The following is a 22,053-nucleotide window of genomic DNA, read 5'->3' as shown; positions in this document are numbered from 1 at the left end:
AGTATTTTTATTAGTATTAGTGTTAACCTGTAGTCCCAGCTACTTGGGAGGCTGAGGTGGGAGAGTCACTTGAACCTGGGAGGTGGAGGTTGCAGTGAGCTGAGACCACGCCATTGCACTGCAGCCTGTAATCCCAGCTACTCAGGTTGCTGAGTCAGGAGAATGGCTTGAACCCAGGAGGCGGAGGTTGCAGTGAGCTGAGATCACACCACTGCACTCCAGCCTGGGCAACAGAGCAAGACTGTCACCAAAATAAACAAAAAAAATTAGAAGAATAGAGAATGATCATTGTATCTGTGATGCTTAGATTCAACAGCTGTTAACATTTCCCACAGAACTCACTTTTTATTTTTTATTTTTTTTATTTTTTGAGATGGAGTCTCGCTCGTCTCCAGGCTGGAGTGCAGTGGTGCAATCTCGGCTCACTGCAACCTACATACACCTCCTGGGTTCAAGCCATTCTCCTGCCTCAGCCTCCTGAGTAGCTGGGATTATAGGCACACGCCACCACGCCCAGCTAATTTTTGTATTTTTAGAGACAAGGTTTCACCATGTTGGCCAGGATGGTCTCCATCTCCTGACCTCAGGTGATTCCTCCACCCTGGCCTCCCAAAGTGGTGGGGTTACAGGTATGAGCCACTGTGCCCAGCGAGCTCACTTTAAAGGTGGTGGAATGTGAGACCTGAGTTAGGAGAATAACCTTTTGTTGTGGATCAGTTACAGCTGCTTCTCTGTGTTCCTTCTGGGCTGTTCTTCATTCCACATACATTAACCACTTTCTAGGTGCCAGGCCCTGGGAATTAGTGAGCAAGATAACATGGTCCTTGTACTCAGTAGCACTGAGAATGCTGATGGGGGAACTCTGGGGCACTATGGGAGGACACAGCAGGAGCTTCTAACCTGAAGTGGGGCAGTAGTGTTGGTGGTAGTGGGGAAGGCTTCTTCCAGGAAGTGCCTTTTAGGTTGAGGTCTGCAGAGTAAGGAACCCGTGTCCCATGCAGAGGGAAAAAAGCCGAGGTCCTAAGGTTAAGAGAGGGGATGATGAGGCTGGGTGCAGTGGCTCATGCCTGTAATCCCAGCACTTTGGGAGGCCAAGGCGGGTGGATCACGAGGTCAGGAGACCGAGACTATCCTGGCCAACATGGCGAAACCCCGTCTCTACTAAAAATACAAAAATTAGTCAGGTGTGGTGGCATGCTTCTGTAGTCCCAGCTACTCAGGAGGCTGAGGCAGGAGAATCGCTTGAACCTGGAAGGTGGAGGTTGCAGTGTGAGCTGAGATCACGCCACTGCACTCCAGCCTGGGCGACAGAGTGAAACTCCATCTCAAAAAAAAGAGAGAGAGAGGGGATAATGAGTGTGTGGAAATAAAGTAGAATCAGAGACAGATGAGGCTAGAATGAAAAGCAGGGCCAGTAGTCTTGTTATGTTGCACAGTTCCTAGGGCTGCTGTTCACCTTGCATTCTACAATATTAACACTGTAGCCTCGGCATGTTAACTAGCCGCTGAGACTGACTGGCATCTGCTTGGGTGGTTGGTGGCTGAACTGTTTAGATGAGAGCCAGAGCAGACTGAATGTATGTGACTCATGCTCACCATATACCACTTGGGGCCAAGTTCTGAAGGATTGTGTTCCTGTTGAGGAGTCTGGACTTGATTCTGAAGGGGTAGGTACATTAAAGGATTTTATTGAAGAGAGGATCATGACTGGATTTGTAGTCATGCTGAGGAAATAGTGGTAGTTAGAAATGGATCTGAATAAGAGTTATCAGCTTTAGGGCCTGACAAGAGTTTTAAACTTGTCTCTCTGTTTCTTCCAGAAACAAATTGTTCAAACTCTGTTAGCTTCCATTTCACCATGAGATAGTAGTAATTCTGGTTTGAGAAAGTAGAAATTCTGACTTGGGTTTATTTTGTAAGGATTTTGTAGATGTTAATTAAAAAAAATTTATTTTAGATGGTAAAAATTGAGACATCTTTTCTGGCTAGCTATTGTGGTTCTTACTTCCAAGTGCACATTGTAATTCCCTGGAGAACTTTTAAAAATATTGACATCCAGTCCCAACCCCAGAGCTTCTGATTCAGTTCGTCTGAAGTGCAGTCTAGGCAGCCTTCCTCTTTTAAAGCTTTCCAGGAGATTCACATGTATAGCCGAGGTTGAGAACCCTTGGACTAACATGGGTTCCTTTTATCCTTATAAAACTAAATTTAAGGCCGGGCGCGGTGGCTCACACCCGTAATCCCAGCACTTTGGGAGGCTGAGGCGGGCAGATCACAAGGTCAGGAGTTCGAGACCAGCCTGGCCAACATAGTGAAACCCTGTCTCTACTAAAAATACAAAATTAGCCAGGTGTGGTGGCGGGCGCCTGTAGTCCCAGCTACTTGGGAGGCTGAGGCAGGAGAATCACTTGAACCTGGGAGACGGAGGTTGCAGTGAGCCAAGATCATGCCCTTGCACTCCAGCCTGGGCGACAAGAGCAAGACTCTGTCTCAAAAAAAAAAGCCATTAAAAAAAAAATAAAATCACTTGCTGTTTATTAGATGGCTGCTGTGTGCCAGGTACTTTGCAAATATTGTCTTAATCCTCGTCAAACCTCCTTATAGTCTGTATTTTTCCCATTTTACCAGTGAGTAAACAGGCTTAGAGAAGTTAAGTGTCTGTTTCAAGGTAATAGTCGATATAAAGTGAAGCACAGGTCCACCAGATTCCAGAAGCTGTGCTTTTATCTATGATGTTCTACCAGCTCCCATCCTTTTTTTTTTCTGTCAGGTTGACTTCTTTCTTGAGAATAGAGACATTTATTATTATTATTTTGTTTTATTTTATTTTATTTATTTATTTTTTTGAGACAGAGTCTTGCTCTGTCGCCCAGGCTGGAGTGCAGTGGTGCGATCTCAGCTCACTGCAAGCTCCGCCTCCCGGGTTCACGCCATTCTCCTGCTTCAGCCTCCTGAGTAGCTGGGACTACAAGTACCTGCCACCACGCCCAGCTAATTTTTTATATTTTTAGTAGACATGGGGTTTCACCGTGTTAGCCAGGATGGTCTTGATCTCCTGACCTCGTGATCTGCCCACCTTAGCCTCCCAAAATGCTGAGATTACAGGGGTGAGCCACTGCGCCTGGCCTTATTTTATTTTATTTTTCGAGATGGAGTCTTGCTCTGTTACCCAGGCTGGAGTGCAGTGGCATGATCTCGGCTCACTGCAACCTCCGCCTCCTGGGTTCAGTGATTCTCCTGCCTTAGCCTTTGGGGTAGCTGGGATTTCAGGCACACTCCACCCAGTCTGGCTGATTACAGGCACACACCACCACATCTGACTAATTTTTGTATTTCTAGTAGAGGCGGCGTTTCACTGCGTTGGCCAGGCTGGTCTCAAACTCCAGACTTCAAGTAATCTACCCGCCTCGGCCTCCCAAACTGCTAGGATTACAAGCGTGAACCACCGCACCCAGCCTGTTAATATTATGTTCATATGCTGTCCTGTGCAATTTCTTTTTTTTTTTTTTTTTGAGACGGAGTCTTGCTCTGTTGCCCAGGCTGGAGTGCAGTGGTGCGATCTCAGCTCACTGCAAGGTCCGCCTCCTGGGTTCAGGCCATTCTCCTGCCTCAGCCTCCGGAATAGCTGGGTAGCTGGGACTACAGGCACCTGCAACCACGCCCGGCTAATTTTTTGTATTTTTAGTAGAGACGGGTTTTCACCGTGTTGGCCAGGATGGTCTCGATCTCCTCTCGATCTCCTGACCTCGTGATCCGCCCGCCTCGGTCTCCCAAAGTGCTGGGATTACAGGCGTGAGCCACCGCGCCTGGCCAGTGCAATTTCAGTTCTTAGATCTTATATTCAGTCCAGAGAGTATGGAAAGTATCTTCCTTTCTACATCCCAACACCCTACAACTATCTAAGAGGGTAAAATCAAATGTGTTTGTCAGTGGCATGGTTTACTTCAATATACATAAAGGCGCCAGGCATTGTTCTAAGCACTTTCACATACATTATTTACTTATCATAACAACCTTTTGGGGTAGATGATAGTATTATCTCTATTTTGTGGGTAAGAAACTGAAGTGCATGTAGAAAGGTTACAGAACTTGTTAGTGTCACACACGTAGTGGGTCTGACTCCAGAGACTCCAGTCTGATTATTATTGCTTTATTATTTTGAGCTCATTAAAAGAGGGTGACAAATACTGTACCTTTTGAGAACTTACAAATGACCGTGGTATGTGTGCAGAAGATGTCCTAGACAAGGAAGACAAGGAGCAGGTAGGAGGGCGTGTGGAACAATTCATGAAATTCCTCAAGACAGTGGTAAAAACATTTTTCTGGTTTCTTGTTTCCTTGTCACGAGAGTCCACATGACCCTGTTGCTCAACCTCTTACCACATTTGTTCATGAGAAAATATTGGGAAAATCATAGCAACCAGTAATGCATCTGAGAAGAGGGTGAGAGACTTCAGTATATAGGCTCAATCCTCCTACCTCAGCCTCCTTCCCAGTAGCTGGGACCACAGGCATGCGCCACCACACCTGGCTAATTTTTGTATTTTTTGTAGAGACAGGGTTCCGCCATGTTGCCTAGGCTGGTCTCAAACTGCTATGCTCAAGTGCTTTGCCTGCTTTGGCCCCCCAAGGTGCTAGGATTACAGTCATGAGCCACCGCACCCGGCCCCTCAACTGTGGTTTAACATCTGAAAATTAGTATAATATACCACATTAGTAAACTAAAGGACAAACAACATATAATCATCTCAATAGATAGAGAAAAAGTGACAAAATTTCATACCTCTTGATAATAAAAACACTCAACAAATTAGGAATAGAAGAGGATTTCCTCAACCTGATAAAGGGCATCTATGAAAAAACCCACAGCTAATATATATATATATGTGTTTGTGTGTGTGTCACACACACATTTTTTATTTTTATGTTTTTTTGAGATAGAGTCTCGCTCTGTCACCTGAGCTGGAATGCAGTGGCGTGATCTTGGCTCACTGCAACCTCTGCCTCCCGGGTTCAAGCAATTCTCCTGCCTCAGCCTCCCAAGTAGGTGAGATTACAGACGTGCACCACCACACCTGGTTAATTTTTGTGTTTTTAGTGGAGACGGGGTTTCACCATGTTGATCAGGCTAGTCTTGAACTCCTGACCTGAAGTGATCTGCCCGCCTCGACCTCCCAAAGTGCTGGGATTACAGGTGTGAGTGAGCCACTGCACCCAACCTTTTTATTTTTTTTGAGACAGAATCTTGCTCTGTCACCCAGGCTGGAGTGCAGTGGCATGATCTCTGCCCACTGCAATCTCCACCTCCTGGGTTCAAGCAATTCTCCTGCCCCAGCCTCCTGAGCAGCTGGGATTACAGGCGCCCACCACCACTCCCAGCTAAGTTTTTGTATTTTTAGTAGTGACGGGAGTTTGCCATGTTTGCCAGGCTGGTCTCAAACTCCTGACCTCAGGTGATCTGCCCATCTCGGCCGCCCAAAGTGCTGGGATTACAGGCGTGAGCTACTGTGCTTGGCTAGAAAAACCCACGGCTAACATATTTAGTGGTAAACAGTTGAATTCTTTCCTTCTAAGATCAGGAATAAAATGAGGATATTCACTCTTATCACTTCTGTTTAACGTTGTACTGGAGGACCTAGCTAGGGCAAGAGACATGAAAGTGAAATAAAAGACATTCAGATTGGAAAGGAAGTAAAACTATTTCTATTTGCAGATGACAGAATATGGAAAATCCTAAGGAATCCACAAAAAAAAACCTATTAGAACTACTAAATGAATTTAGCAAGGTTGAAGGATACGAGATCAGTATGCAAAAATATTATAAAATATGCAAAAATATTATAAAATATTATTAAAAAGGTTTATTTCTTTTTTTTTTTCTTTTTTGAGACGGAGTCTTGCTCTGTCACACAGGTTGGCATGCAGTGGCATGATCTCTGCTCATTGCCACCTCCGCCTCCTGGGTTCAAGTGATTCTTCTGCCTCAGCCTCCAGAGTAGCTGGGATTACAGGCACGTGCTACCACGCCTGGCTAATTTCTGTATTTTTAGTAGAGATGGGGTTTCACCATGTTGGTCAGGCTGTTCTTGAACTCCTGACCTCATGATCACCTGCCTCGGCCTCCCAAAGTGCTGGGATTACAGGCGTGAGGTACCGCGCCTGGCAAATCAGGTTTATTTCTATATATTTTCAGTGAACAATCTGAAAATGAAATGAGAAAACAACTCCATTTGCAGTGTTATCAAAAAGAATAAAATACTTAGAAGTAAATTTGGCCGGGTGCGGTGGCTTACGCCTGTAATCCCAGCACTTTGGGAGGCTGAGGCGGGCAGATGACAAGGTCAGGAGATCGAGACCATCCTGGGTAACATGGTAAAACCCCGTCTCTACTAAAAAAATACAAAAAAATCAGCCGGGCATGGTGGCGGGCGCCTGTAGTCCCAGCTACTTGGGAGGCTGAGGCAGGAGAATGGCGTGAACCTGGGAGGTGGAGGTTGCAGTGAGCCAAGATTACGCCACTGCACTCCAGCCTGGGTGACAGAACGAGACTCCGTCTCAAAAAAAAAAAAAAAAGAAAATTTAATAGAAAAACTTTGACAACTACAAAATATTGTTGGGGCCAGGTGTGGTGGCTCACACCTATAATCCCAGCACTTGTGGGAGGCTGAAGTGGGAGAATCACCTTAGGCCAGGTGTTTGAAATGAGCCTGGGCACCACAGCAAGATCTTGTCTCTACAAAAAATAAAATTAGGCCAGGCGTGGTGGCTCACACCTGTAATCCCAACAGGGGAGGGATTTTGGGAGGCTGAGACGGGTAGATCACGAGGTCAGGAGATCAAGACCATCCTGGCCAAGATGGTGAAACCCCGTCTCTATTAAAAATATAGGCCGGGCGCTGTGGCTCACGCCTGTAATCCCAGCACTTTGGGAGGCTGAGGCAGGCGGATCACGAGGTCAGGAGATCGAGACCATCCTGGGTAACACGGTGAAACCCCGTCTCTACTAAAAATACAAAAAAATTAGCCAGGCATGGTGGCGGCGCCTGTAGTCCTAGCTACTTGGGAGGCTGAGGCAGGAGAATGGCATGAACCCGGGAAGCGGAGCTTGCAGTGAGCCAAGATCGCGCCACTGCACTCCAGCCTGGGCGACAGAGCAAGACTCCATCAAAAAAAAAATAAATAAATAAAAATAAAAATAAAAAAATTAGCTGAGCTTCGCAGTGTGCGCCTGTAGTCCCAGCTACTCGGGAGGCAGAGGCAGGAGAATTGCTTGAACCTGGGAGGCGGAGGCTACAGTGAGCTGAGATTGCGCCACTTCACTCCAGCCTGGGCAACAGAGCAAGACTCTGTCTCAAAAAAAATTAGCCTGGTGTGGTGGGTGATGCATGCTACCCGGGAGGCTGAGGTGGAGGTTTGCTCAGGAGGGTGAGTCCACAGTGAGCCACGATCGCATCGCTGCACTCTAGCCTCAGTAACAGAGCAAGACCCTGTCTCAAAAATGAAATAAAGTAAAAAAAATTATTGGAGGAAATTAAAGAAGATCCATGTAAATGGAAAGATGTTCTATGGCATGGATTGGAAGACTTGGTATTGTTAAGATAGCAGTACTCCCCACATTGCTCTATGCAGTCCCTACCTCTCAAAAACTTAGCTGGCTTCTTGGCAAAAATTCACAAGCTGATCTTAACATCCATATGGAAATTCAAGGGACTCAGAATAACCAAAATAATCTTGACAAACAGTGAAGTTGGAATGCTCACACTTCCTGATTTCAAAACTTACTACAAAGCTACAATAATAAAGACAGTGTGCTACTGGCATCTGGGTAGACATACAGATCAATGGAATAGAACTGAGAGTCTGGAAATAAAACGTCACATTTAATCAATTAATTTTCTTTTTCTTTCTTTTTTTTTTTTGAGACAGAGTCTCGCTCTGTCTCCCAGGCTGGAGTGCAGTGGCACGATCTCGGCTCACTGCAAGCTCTGCCTCCTGGGTTCACGCCATTCTCCTGCCTCAGCCTCCCGAGTAGCTGGGACTACAGGTGCCTGCCACCACGCCTGGCTATTTTTTTTTTTAATATATATGTTTTTAGTAGAGATGGGGTTTCACCATATTAGCCAGGATGGTCTCGATCTCCTGATCTCGTGATCCACCCGCGTCGGCCTCCCAGTGTGCTGGGATTACAGGCGTGAGCCACCGTGCCCGGTCTAATCAATTAATTTTCCACAAGATAATTCAATGGGGAAAGAATCATCTTTTCAACAACTAGTTATCCACGTGTAAAATAATGAAGTTATTCCCTATTTCACACCACACAGAAAATTTAACTCGAAATGGATGAAAGATCTAAATGTAAAAATTAAAACTATAAAACTTTTAGAAAAAAAAAATATCGGATTGATTCTTCTTGACTTTGGATCAGGCAGTTGTTAGATGTGACACCAAAAGAAAAAGCAACGAAAGAAAAGGATAAATTGAACTTCATCAAAATTGAAACCTTACGTGTTTCATAGGACATCATCAAGGAAATGTAAAGAACCTACAGAATGGGAAAAGATATATGCAAATCATATCTTATTAGAGATTTGTTTGAAACGTAAAGAACTATTACAACTCAATAGTAAGACAACCAAATTAGAAAATGGGCAAAAGATCTTAATAGGTATTTCTCTAGAAGAGATATACAAGTGGCCAAGAAGCTTGAAAAGAGGCTGAGCATCATCAGCCATCAGGGACATGCAAATTAAAACCATAAGACACTACTTTACACCCGCTAGAATGGCTAAAATAAAAAAGATTAGAAGTGTTGGCAAGGATATGGAGTAATTGGAACCCTCATAGACTGCTGGTGGGAATGTAAAATGGTGTAGTTGCTTTGGAAAAGTTTGACATTTCTTCAAATGACTAAACATAGACTTTACATGATCTAGCAATTCCACTCATAGGTGTGTACCTAAGAGAAATGAAAACATCTACACAAAACTTTTTTTTTTTTGAGATGGAGTCTTGCTCTGTTGCCCAGTATGAAGTGCAGTGGCGTGATCTCAGCTCACTGCAACCTCTGCCTCCTGGGCTCAAGTGATTCCCCTGCTTCAGACTTCCAAGCAGCTGGGATTACAGGCGCCTGCCACCACGCCTGGCTAATTTTTACATTTTTAGTAGATACGGGTTTTGCCATGTTGGCCAGGCTAGTCTCAAACTCCTGACCTCAAGTTATCCGCCCGCCTTGGCCTCCCAAAGTGCTGGGATTATAGGCATGAGCCACTGCACCCGGCCTACACAAAAACTTTTATATGAATGTTCATAGCAGCATTATTCATAATAGCCAAGAAATGGATACAACTTAAATGTCCATCAACTGATTAGAGCAGGGGTCCCCAACCTGTTAGGAACCAGGCTGCACAGCAGGTGAATGGTGGGCGAGCAAGTGAAGCATTATCTGTATTTACAGCTGCTCCCCATTGCTCTCATTACTGCCTGAGCTCCGCCTCCTCTCAGATCAGTGGTGGCATTAGATTCTCATAGGAGCAGGAGCCCTCTTATGAACTGAGCATGCGAGGGATCTAGTTTTCTCCTTAGGAGAATTTAATGCCTGATGATCTGTCACTGTCTCCCATCACCCCCAGATGGGACTATCTAGTTGCAGGAAAACAAGCTTAGGGTTCCCGCTGATTTCTACATCATGGTGAGCTGTATAATTATTTCATTATATATTATAACGTGATAATAATAGAAATAAAGTACACAGGCCGGGTGCGGTGGCTCACGCCTGTAATCCCAACACTTTGGGAGGCCAAGGTGGGCGGATCACGAGGTCAGGAGATTGAGGCCATTCTGGCTAACACGATGAAACCCCGTCTCTACTAAAAATACAAAAAAATTAGCCGGGCGTGGTGGCGGCCACCTATGGTCCCAGCTACTCGGGAGGCTGAGGCAGGAGAATGGCGTGAACCTGGCAGGCGGAGCTTGCAGTGAGCCAAGATCGCGCCACTGGATTCCAGCCTGGGCAACAGAGTGAGACTCCGTCTCAAAAAAAAAAGAAAGAAAGTACACAATAAATGTAATGTGCTTGAATCATCCCGAAACCACCCCCCCTCCAACTCCCCGGTTCATGGAAAAATTGTCTTCCAGGAAACCAGTCCCTGGTGCCAAAAAGGTTGAGGACTACTGGATTAGAGGATAAACAAAATGTGATATATTGTTATAATGGAAATATCAGCAATGAAAATAAGTATCACTGGGTGTGGTGGCTCGTGCCTATAATCCCAACACTTTGGGAGGCCAAGGTGGAAGGATTGCTTGAGTCTAGGAGTTTTAGATCAGCTTGGGCAACATAGGGAGACCCCATCTTTACAAAAAACAAAAAAAATTAGCTGGTCCCAGCTACTTTGCAGGCTGAGGCAGGAGGATTGCTTGAGTCCAGGAGGTCAAGGCTGTAGTGAGCTATGATTGCCACTGCACTGTAGCCTGGGCGATGGAGCAAGACTGTCTCAAAAAAAAAACAAAGTAGGAGTAATTGCCAGGCACAGTGGCTTACACTTGTAATTCTAGCACTTTAGGAGACCAAGGTGAGTGGATCACTTGAGCCCAGGACCTCGAGGTTGCAATGAGCCTTGATCACACCACTGCACTCCAGCCTGGGTGACATAGCAAGACCCTGTCTCAAAAAAAAAAAAAAAAAAAAAAAAGACTGAAAGAAATTAAGTATCGATATGTGCTCCAACATGGATGACCCATGAAAACACTATGCTAAGTGGAAGAAGCCAGTCACAAAAGACCCACACATTGTATGATCCCATGCATATGAAATGTCCAGAATAGGCAAATCTGTAGAGACAGAAAGTAGATTAGTGGTTGTCTAGGGCTGGGGTAATGTGGGGTGGAGATGAGGAGAGTGACTACTAGTGGGCATGAGATTTTTTTTTGGGGTGATGAAAATGTTTTAAAATTGGTTGTGGTAATCATAATCTTAACTCTGAATATACTAAATGCCATTGAATTATATACTTTAAGTGAATTGTGTGGACTGTGAATTATATCTCAGTGTTGTAGTTATTTATTTTATTTATTTTTTTTGAGACTGAGTCTCACCCTGTCGCCCAGGTTGGAGTGCAGTGGCGTGATCTTGGCTCACTGCAACGTCCATCTCCCAGGTTCAAGTGATTCTCCTGCCTCAGCATTCCGAGTAGCTGGGATTACAGGTGCCTGCCACCACGCCTGGCTAATTTTTGTATTTTTAGTAGAGACGAGGTTTCACCATGTTGCCCAGGCTGGTCTCGAACTCCTGACCTTGTGATTTGCCCGCCTCAGCCTCCCAAAGCACTGGGATTACAGGCGTGAGTCACCGCGCCTGGCTGTATTGTAGTTATTTTTTAATGTTGATTAAAAGATCACCAGTGGGCAGGCACAGTAGCTCGTGCCTATAATCCCAGCACTTTGGGAAGCCAAGGCAGGAAGATAGCTTGAGTCCAGGAGTTTGAAACCAGCCTAGGCAACATAGCAAGTCCTCATCTCTACAAAAAATCAAAAAAAAAAAAAAGGTAAAGATAACCTGATTATCTTGCACTATCAAGTCATCAGCTGATGATCATCACTTTCTCACACAAACCTACCCAGATGTTGGTGAAAAGTTGCAGGGAAGTCAGTAGCAATCTTGGAGCTACAATGTGCTTCCGTTGAAATCAGAGCGTAATGAATGAGAAGAGGCCTTCCTGGAATGAGAGCACAGAGTGTAACCGTTGCGGTCTTGGCCTTCATTCTTTTCTGTGAGATGTTTGGGCCTCACCCCTGGGGAGGCAGAAATAGCTAGAGAGTGGGGAGAAGAGCTTGGGAGTTGTTTTTGAGGTATTCCCCATACTTTGAGATACTCCTCATACTTTTTTTTGATGTGATGATTGTTTTTTCCTCCTTTGAACTGGAAGAAAATTTAACAATACCATGCCATCCAGTTAAAAAAACATTTCCTCAAGTCTTTTTTTTTTCTTTTGAGACTGAGTCTTGCATTCTATCGCCCAGGATGGAGTGCAGTGGCACAGTGATAGCTCACTGCAGCCTCGAACTCCTAGGCTTAAGCAGTCTTCCTGCCTCAGCCTTCTGAATAACTGGGACTACAGGTGGCCATCATGCCAGGTTAATTTTTACTTTTTTTGGCCAGGTGCAGTGGCCAATGCCTATAATCCCAGCACTTGAGGTCAGGAGTTCGAGACCAGCCTGGCCAACATGGTGAAACCCTGTCTCTAATAAGAATACAACAATTAGCTGGGATATGGCGCATGCCTATAATCCCAGCTTCTTGGGAGGCTGAGGCAGAAGAATTGTTTGAACCTGGGAGGCGGAGGTTGCAGTGAGCCGAGATTACGCCACTGCACTCCAGCATGGGCAACAGAGTGAGACTCTGTGTCAAAAAAAGAAAAAAAATTTTTTTTTTTTTGTAGAGATACGGTCTTGCTATGTTTTCAAGGCTGGTCTTGAACTCTTGGACTCAAGTGACCTCCTCCCTTGGCCTCCCGAAGTGCTAGGATTACAGGCATGAGCCACCACACTCAGTCCCCTTAAGTCTTTGTCTTGATGAAGACACTGATCCCAAAGTGGTCTCTTTACTGTTGGCAGAGAGAATTTTAACATGTTTCTTTTCTGAGACAGTGAAAGAGGGAGAAAGGAAGAAAGCAAGGGCCAGTGCTCCAGAGGATGCTTATTCCTGGGTTAGTTCTTTTCTTTGGGCTTTGACCCTTTCGAGACTCTGATTAAAGTGTTGGACCCAAGAAAGAGGCATGTACACAGAAGAGTTGACATGATTTTAGGAGATCTGAAGATCTCCTGTTCTATAGAATTGATGGCTCTTCTCATTAACAAGAAGTATTGACATACTATCAGAATGATGGTCAGCAGTGAAATAAAGACATACATAATGGGCTCTATTCTGAAACTTGGTACTTGTAATCTGGGTGGGTAGGTTATAAAGGTCAGTGCTTGGGGCACACCTCAAATTTAGTCTCCTGATTTTGGAGTACTCTTTATTGAAGTCCTCAAATTACTTGATTTGAGGACTAAGATAAATGAGATTGAGATCATTCCGTGAGTTTCTTAAGAGAGCGTGATGATATTCAATTATATGAAGGTTTCCAGACCTGGAAGTGCCACTTTTCTGTGTCCTCCAGTTGAGAAGCTGTGAGTCCTGGGGACAGAGTCCCTAGCATAGCTTTGTGGGAGTCTGGGGGCTTACAGAGCAAGGGCCTTCTCAGGCTGCCTAGTAATGTGTAACGAATCTCACTGATCTTCTTTTCACTTTAAATAGGATGGGTATTGTCTCCTCTTTGTCTGGATTTCTGCATAAAGGGCTAGATGAAGATTATTGTAGGACCAGCAGCTTATACAGCTTTGAAAAAGTGACAGGTCTACGTGTGTAAGTGACAGTGTGTTCCGCTAGTGATCCCAGGGAGGATGAAATGGAGGTGTGGTGGGAGATGCTTCACATTTAGTAGCATCTAGTAGAAGGCATTTGTTTTGTTAATTATTTTTATATACATTACAGGAGAATTAGAAAATGCTGAAAAAACAAAAGCGTACAAACATCTTTAAAAACAAAGACATTGTATCATGTTGTAAATACTGTTTTTAAAACCTTTTTAAATGTTTAAAAAATTGCAGATATATAGAAAAATTGAGAAAAGCAGAAAAATTGTATGGTAAATACTAGATTCAGATTAATCTTTATTTGATAATAATTTTGTGCTTATGATTAAGTTATAAGAATACAACCGGCCACGCACAGTGGCTCACGCCTGTAATCCCAGCACTTTGGGAAGCCAAGGCGGGTGGATCACCTGAGGTCAGGAGTTTGAGACTAGCCTGGCCAACATGGTGAAACCCTGTCTGTACTAAAAATACAAAAATTAGCCGGGCTTGGTGGCAGGTGCCTGTAATCCCAGCTAGTTGGGAGGCTGAGGCAGGAGAATCGCTTGAACCCGGGAGGTGGAGGTTGCAGTGAGCCGAGATCGCGCCATTGCACTCCAGCCTGGAGGACAAGAGTGAGACTTCATCTCAAAAGAAAAAAAAGTTGGTCCTTTAGGGGGAAAAAATATAACAAGAGAATTTTGGAATGTTCTTCACCCAGATTTCCGAAAATGTTAATGTTTTACTACATTTGCTTTGTCCCTATTTTTTTTTTTTTTTTTAGAGACAGAGTTTTGCTCTTGTTGCCCAGACTGGCGTATAGTGGCACGATCTTGGCCCACTGTGGCCTCTGCCTCCTGGGTTCAAGCGATTCTCCTGCCTCAGCCTCCTGAGTAGCTGGGATTACAGGCATATGACACCATGCCCGTCTAATTTTGTATTTTTAATAGGGACGGGGTTTCTCCGTGTTGGTCAGGCTGGTCTCGAACTCCCGACCTCAGGTGATCCACCTGCCTCGGCCTCACAAAGTGCTGGGGTTACAGGTGTGAGCTACTGCGCCTGGCCGTCCTTTTTTTTTTTTTTTTTTTTCCGACACAGGGTTTGGTTTTGTCACCCAGGGTGGAGTGCAGTGGCACAATCACAGCTTAGTGTAGCCTCAACTTCTCAGGCTCAATAGAGCCTCCCATCTCAGCCTCCCAAGTAGCTGGGACTACAGGTGCATGCCACCAAGCCCAGCTATCTTTTTGTAGAGATGGGGTTTTGCCATGTTGCCCAGGTTGGTCTCAAACTCCTAGGGTCAAGCAATCCTCCCACCTTCATTTCCCAAAGTGCTGGGATTATAGGTGTGAGCCACCACACCTGGCCATCCTTTTCTTTAACCTCTTTCTTTGTGTGTGTGTGTCTGTGTGTATGTGTCTTGCGTGTATGTTTGTGCTTGTGTGTCTTTTTTTCTGAACTAAGAGTAAATTGCTCTCATGATGTCTCCTTAATCCTAAATACTTGTGTGTGTGTGTGTGTTTAAAAAAAAAAGTTATTTTATGTAGCCACAGCACAGTGATCAAAATCAGGAAGTTAACATTTGTAACAATACCATTATCTAATCTGCAGGCCTTATTCATATTTCACCTATTGTCCCAATATGTCCTTTATAATGAAAGAAAGTCCCAGATCCTGTGTTGTATTCAGTTGTTACTCTCCTTTAATCTGGAACTATTCTCAGCGTTCTCTTTGTGCTTCAGAGTACATACTGTTTAGACCTGATTTTAAAAAAATAATACATATGAAACATTTTTCCATATTGAGAGATATTGAAAGCAGTGTATCCCAGTGATTGAGTCAGGGCTCTGGAGCCAGAATACTTGGTTTCAAATCCTGATTTCACTACTTAATGCCTGTGTTATCCTGGACAAGTTTTTTACCTGTGAAATGAGGAGTACTGATACTACCTCATAGGATTGTGAGAATTAAATGCAGAAGGGCTCATTACTGAGTTCAGTGCCTGGCACAGACTAAGTGCTCAATAAACACCAGCTATTATTCACACCATTCAGTGGATTCCTAAGGGACATTTTGCAAACATCTTAGTTCTGTTCTCTCTTCCTCTCCCCTCCTTCACTTCTTCACATCTGGGTTCCCAAAAGCAAATGGTCAGCTTACTAGACAATGGTATGGTTTGAGATGGAAACACTGCTCTAAAAGAGTGGCTCCTAGATGCCAGTGTATGAACTCCAGTTGTGTGGTAACAGAGTTTTCACTGGTGCAAGAATCATAATAATGAAGTTCTTTTTCTTAAGTGCTAAATGTATTCAGTTGTTTCATTATGAAATTACATTGTTCTCTCTCATCTTTTGGTGTTAAAGTGTCCCTTTGTAAAATGATGTTTATTATAGATGATTGTTCTGTCATTATTGTATTTTAATATTTTTAGTAGGCAATAAAAAGAAGCCAAATCTAATACTCTCCAAAATATTTTTGGAAATATTAATGGTTGATCACAGCCAGTGGTCTGGGAATTCGTGCTTTAGAAGATGTATGTTTGGCTTTGTGTTTATATATATATGAGTACCTGTGAACGATATTTGTATCTAGAAATACACTAGTCACTGATTGAATGTTTATTGACTCCCTCCTGAACACCAAGACATTGTACTAAATGCTTCGCATATCTCATTTCATCTTCATAATGAACCCTGTGAGCTTTGTATTGTTCTGTTTACAGTGAGGAAATAGAATCTCAAAGAGGTGATGTAATCCACCGAAGGGTTACACAGCTATAAGTGACATAACTGCAGTTAGAACTCAGGTCTCCCTAATTACAGAGGCCATTTGGAATTTTAGCCTAGAATCCATAAATCCACAAGCTAATGGGTGTCTTTTCCATCGAAATATGCTGAAGATACAGTTATCCCGTAGAGGTCTTCAAAAAACACTTTTTTAAAAGTAGTCTTGTAGTACAAAAAGTTGAAAACATTTCTCCACCCTTTAAACAACAGTCCTTTGGATGATAAAACAGGTGAGAGTTTCTCCTTTCTGGTGACTCTTAAATTAGGAATAAAACTACCACCTTGCCTGAACCAGTGTGATTCTTCAATCTTTGGTTCTAACTTACAGAGTGCTTTCTAGGGGAAAAACAAAATTGCTCCTGTGTGAAATTAGTGGTTATCCAAGAAATACTTCCAGGAACTCTTGACTAGGCGTAGAAAATAAGATGGCATTTAGTGACTTACACTAATGTGAGGTTAAAAGTTGAAGGCCAACTCGTGTTGCCGAAGTAGACAGATTCTCTGTAGTTGCAAAGCTGTGAGGCTCCCTGTCTGGTGCAGCGTTTCTTCAATTTGGCTGCACATCACAGCCTTCTGTGGTGCTTTTTAAAAATACATAATCCTGGCTGGGTGCGGTGGCTCACGCCTGTAATCCCAGCACTTTGGGAGGCCAAGACGGGCAGATCACGAGATCAGGAGTTCGAGACCAGCCTGACCAACATGGTGAAACCCCATCTCTACTAAAAATACAAAAATTAGCTGGGCATGGTGGCGAGCGCCTGTAATCCCACCTACTCATAAGGCTGAGGCAGGAGAATTGCTTGAACCCAGGAGGTGGAGGTTGCAGTGAGCCAAGATTTCGCCACTGCACTCCAGCCTGGGTGACAGAGTGAGACTCCATCTCAAAAAAACAAACAAAAAACAATCCTGCACCCCACTCTAGCCATACGAATGAGACTCTTTGACTGAGGGACCCATGTATACGTGCAGTTAACAAGCTCCTTCAGGTGCTCCCAAGGTCCAGCATGCCTCTGGCTGTTACCTGGAACTGGGTCCACACCAGCCTTGGGAAGAGTAAGGCACCCTTAGGCTAAGGATTGCTGTCTCTTTATTATTTGTTTATTTTCTAAGCAAGCTAACATAGGAGATTGCTATCTCTTTAAAGTTGCAACTTAAACTTCTAATCAGGGTTACTAGAGGTGATGAGTGAAGGAAGCCTTGGGCTCATCAGAGCTCCACAGGGCATTTTTAATCCCTTTTTCTTAATTGTCACTGAAATTATGAGCATACTCTCAGATGCCAGTTTCTGTAAACTGCTTGATAACATGCTCACCATTTCCTTGTTCTAAATGGTAGTTGTTGAAGATTAACTTCATGCCAGTTTAATCATCCACGGATTGATGTCATGCCTTTCTGTGTCCTGTATGAATTCTGCCAGTGGTGTTAAGAGGAGGACGGCAGGGGATCTGCACTGCAGCCTCGGACTCCTGGCTGTGGCCCATGGAGCCCAGTGCCGTGGGTGCTGCCTTGCCTCATGGCAGCCTCTTCTCACAAGCTGTGATTCTGACTGATCTGTTTCCAGTTCCTTGAATGTGCCACCCTCATGCTTCTTGTGCCCTCAGATCTTTTGGTGGACTCCCTCTAATTACTTGAGTCTCAGCTCAGATATTGCCTCCTCAGGGAGAGGTTCCCTTGCCCATCCCTTGTATTACCTATTTTATTTTCCTTATAGCATTTTTCACTATCTGAAATAATTTTATTTGCTTCTTTGTTGTTTGTTTCTTCCACTCTGATCTTAATTCCATTCCTGTCTGTCTTGTTTCTCTTTGGACCCTCAGCATCTGGAACAGTACCTGGCTTGTAGTAGGTGTTCACCGTATTAAAGGAGTGAAGGGTTTGAGTTCTGTACCCTCGCCTACCTGTCCCACAGGGCAGAGCTGAGCTGAGCTTGTGTAGGTACCTCTTGTCGCTAATGGCTTAGAACTGCAGCTGTTTGCTGGAGCAGAGCTTAATACCCTCACGCCTGATGATTTTCTAAATCTGTCATTCTGCAATGCCTCCATGGAGCTTCTTCCTTGCCTATGTGTGGTAGGTTAGAATGACAATAGTTATTTGGGAATATATGACCATAAGGCTCAGTTAGAGGGTAAGTGATCCCTTTGGATTAGAGTTAGTTTCATAGTCTCTCAAGTGGCAAGATTTTGGTCTTCTGGGCAGGAGCTGTTTCCTGAGATCCTGGATAGTAAAGGATGTCTTGAATTTGGAAGAATTTAGCCCTGTTGTCTCCTCTTTCCCCTTGCTATAGAAATACAGTAGGCTGGGTACAGACAAACTTGAGACTGACTCCCAGAGACATAAGTGCGGCGTGCCTGGACAGCGTACTGCTATGTGTTTTATAAAGTGCCTTCCAAAAGCTTCAGGACCCTCTATGGGTTAGAGCGGTCTTCCTAGGGGACCCCTTTGAGAATCTGATATAGTAACAGACCCTCTCCTCAGAAAAATGTACAAGCACCCGTGCATATGGTTTTGCCTATCATCTTGAGGGTGCAAAGACTTCACGGATGCCCTTCAGGGACCCTAAAATTCTGTTTGGGGATTTAAGTTGGTTTGTTCATCCATCACAGCTGGGTCATAGCTCTTCTGTGGCTGTGTCTTTCTGACTTGGTCTCCTGTCTTCTGTGCCCTCTCTTGTTTTTATCATAACCTGCTGGACCCTCTCAGGCCCAGAAGAGGCGATATTCTCCAGGAGTCCAGGTACTCAGTTCTTGGCTCATCATGAGCATCCCTCATTCCCATGTGTCCATCCAACATTTGTTGCTGTTTCAAGTCCATGTGGTTGTCTCAGGAGTCCCCGGTCTCTGGTCTCGACTGCATCTCCATCTTGCATGTTAACCATTTGGGACAAAGGGACAAATACTCCCCAAAGGAGTGGCATGCCTCATGTTACCCCTTCACCACCTCACTACCCTGCCTTTTTGCACTGCCTTGGCATTGGGCTTGTTCTGGAATGATTAGTTCGCCATTTCTAAGGAAGAATTGCTCCTACAACTCTACTGGGGAGAGAGGGCCCCTGAAATAGATGGGAAAATGAGTGGCTTATGGGAAAACTTGCAATTTTCTCCCTGTTAAGGGAGAACCTTGCCCTCTTATTATTATTCGGAGAAGTTACGTGTGGAGGAGGCTTAAGTGGGCTGGAAAGTCTTTTGACTAAGGACAGTCATTGTGGCTGGCTGAGCCCATCCAGCAACCCCGTTCCATGTTCTGAGTTCTAATCCATTTAGCCTTATATGCTTATAGAATTTTAGAATTGAAAAGAGCTATCCTGAATGGAAAGATTCCCCTGCTCAAACAGGTATTTTCAGAATACCCGCTGTGTGCAGAACCATGGTTGGGAGGAGATGGGGCTGAAGTTTAGACATATGAAGACGTGATGAATGAATTTTTTCTTCAAGAAGCTTATGTGGCAGTTGGGGAGATAGGTACATATACACGAAAAGGAAACCCCTGGTATTAGGCGGCACATAAGTGCCAAATGGTGACCTTGGGGCATTCAAGTCAGACTCCAGCGTCTTAGGAGGACCACTTCAGGCCCACCCCAGTTCAGGAGCCAAGAGAATTACTGAAGGCAAATACCAAGTGTAGTCGCTTCCTGGGCCCATTTCCCTTGAGAGACCATCTGAATGTGGGCTCTCAGGGGCTGCTGACAATGAGGTCGAGTGGCTGCCTATTCTGCTGTAAGGGGCTCAACTTGTATGTGCTGAATTCCTGTTGCTGTTTGTACAGGCGTTCCTATGTGCTCTTCCTTAGTGTCTGCTTCCCCCTCTCTGCTTTCCAGCGGGTATTCCCCTACATCTCAGCCATGGTGAACAACGGCTCCCTCAGCTATGATCATGAGCGGGATGGGCGGCCTACAGAGCTGGGAGGCTGCACAGCCATTGTCCGCAATCTTCATTACGACACCTTCCTGGTGATTCGCTACGTCAAGAGGCATTTGACGGTGAGAGTCCTTGTCCTGGACCAGATGGTGGTGTGGGCTGTGTCGCTCTTGCTCCCATGGCCTGACCCTGATTTATCTCTCTTTTTATTCTAGATAATGATGGATATTGATGGCAAGCATGAGTGGAGGGACTGCATTGAAGTGCCCGGAGTCCGCCTGCCCCGCGGCTACTACTTCGGCACCTCCTCCATCACTGGGGATCTCTCAGGTACTGCCACGCGCACTCTTGGTTTGCCCTGACTGAGGCCTCTTCTCAATACCCACACTTCATTGAGGCCTCTCACAGGGGAGAGCCAGAGGAGCGGTGCTCTGGAAGGAGGTGCCTCAAGACTGCTTCTCCTTCTGCATTCTTATATCCACATTCCTTAAAAACCCACGCCAGGCTTTCCTAGTACAGTTGTCACTAGAAGATGGTTGGTGCTAATAGAAAGCAGTGTTTGTCCCTTCATTAAGCTGGCTCTTCTAGCCTGTATCGTGAGTTCCTTGCTTTCTGATTTCTGCTGTCAGGCTCCTCTCCTTCCAACCACTAATGTTCCCCGTTCCCCTTCCTTAACAAAGCTTTTCCTTGACTTTGCCGTCCCTCTTCTGACCCCAGACTCTCCTTTTGCTGAGACTTTTGAATGTGTTGTGTGTACAGATCCTTTTGTTTCCTAGCTGTCCACCTCCTTAACATGCTGACTCAGACCTGTGCTCTATCTTGCTAGTACACTAACACCATTCTCATGAAAGGTCATTCTGTTTCCTTGCCATATTCAGTACTCTATTCTCGTTCTCACCCTTTGTCCTCCTCAGCTCATTTAACCCATTACCCTGAAACTCTTGCCTTCTTGACTTATGTGACATTAACAGCACCTGGTTCTTTTACTTTTCCATCTCCTCTTGTTTCTTTTTCTACTTATGCCTGATTCGTAGCTTCTCGTTTATACACTTACTCTCTTTGCTTGAACCCCAATCATAACATCTTTTGGGAAGAGAAAAGGAACTGAACTTCTGTTTCTTTTGATTAATATAATTTGTTCTGGATAAAGCTAGTTTGGAATAGAAGTTTCTTGTGGCAAAATAGAAAGGCAGATACCCATCTGAAAAAGCCGACAGCTAGTGAGCTCCAGCCATTGTAGCTAAAAGGAAATGTCAGCTCAGTGAGGCTAAATCTTCCAGTTTTTCAAGAGCAGTTGGAATTCTGGATTTTTTTTTATATATATATATGGAGTCTCGCTCTGTCGCCAGGCTGGGGTGCAGTGGCGCCATGTCAGCTCACTGCAACCTCCACCTCCTGTATTCAAGCGATTCTCCTGCCTCAGCCTCCCAAGTAGCTGGGACTACAGGCGCGCCACCACGCCCAGCTAATTTTTGTATTTTTAGTAGAAACGGGGTTTCACCATGTTGGCCAGGATGGTCTCCATCTCGACCTTGTGATCCGCCCGCCTTGGCCTCCGAAAGTGCTGGGATTACAGGCATGAGCCACTGAGCCCAGCCTGGATAATCTGGATTTTTAAAATGCAATCTGCTGATCTTTAAAACTCTGGCATCTGATTTTTTTAAAATCAACTTTACTGAGGTGTGCTTTCCATACAACAGAAGAATACAGTTTGAAGAGTTTTGACAAATATTTACACCTATGTAGTCACCATCACAATTAAGATATGAATGTTTCCATCACCTGCCAAAAGCCTTATTATCCCCCTTTGCAGTATTCCTCCCCTTCTTGGATTCCAGGCAACCATTGATCTGCTTTCTGTCATGCAGAGAGATTAGTTTTGGCAATTAGGTTCTAAGTACCGAGCAGGCCAGACCTGTGGGAAAAATTTAGTCTCGGCAGGGGGATAGGAGGCATAGGCTGGAGATCTTTGCTATATAATCTCATTATATGACTACACATTTTCCTTTGAGCTTACAGGT

The 22,053-nt window shown here is 44.6% G+C and overlaps 1 protein-coding gene across 11 annotated transcripts in view; it reads left to right on the top strand.

The window, feature by feature from the left end:
• LMAN2L (lectin, mannose binding 2 like) overlaps window positions 1-22,053 on the top strand; it is a 34,136-nt gene that overhangs the window by 8,047 nt on the left and 4,036 nt on the right. For 6 of the 11 annotated variants that reach the window (NM_001322351.2, NM_001322350.2, NM_001322356.2 and 3 more), the window contains 2 exons: window positions 19,993-20,154; window positions 20,248-20,362. In NM_001322351.2, the coding sequence (NP_001309280.1) occupies window positions 19,993-20,154; window positions 20,248-20,362 (277 nt within the window). Of the gene's footprint in view, window positions 1-18,878; window positions 18,912-19,992; window positions 20,155-20,247; window positions 20,363-22,053 lie in introns of all 11 variants that reach the window. The other 5 variants (NM_001322347.2, NM_001322346.2, NM_001142292.2 and 2 more) reach the window with 1 other exon arrangement.

This window comes from Homo sapiens, chromosome 2, assembly GCF_000001405.40.
Source record: "Homo sapiens chromosome 2, GRCh38.p14 Primary Assembly".
NCBI classification, from domain to species: domain Eukaryota; kingdom Metazoa; phylum Chordata; class Mammalia; order Primates; family Hominidae; genus Homo; species Homo sapiens.
This window is presented reverse-complemented; position numbering and strand designations above follow the sequence as displayed.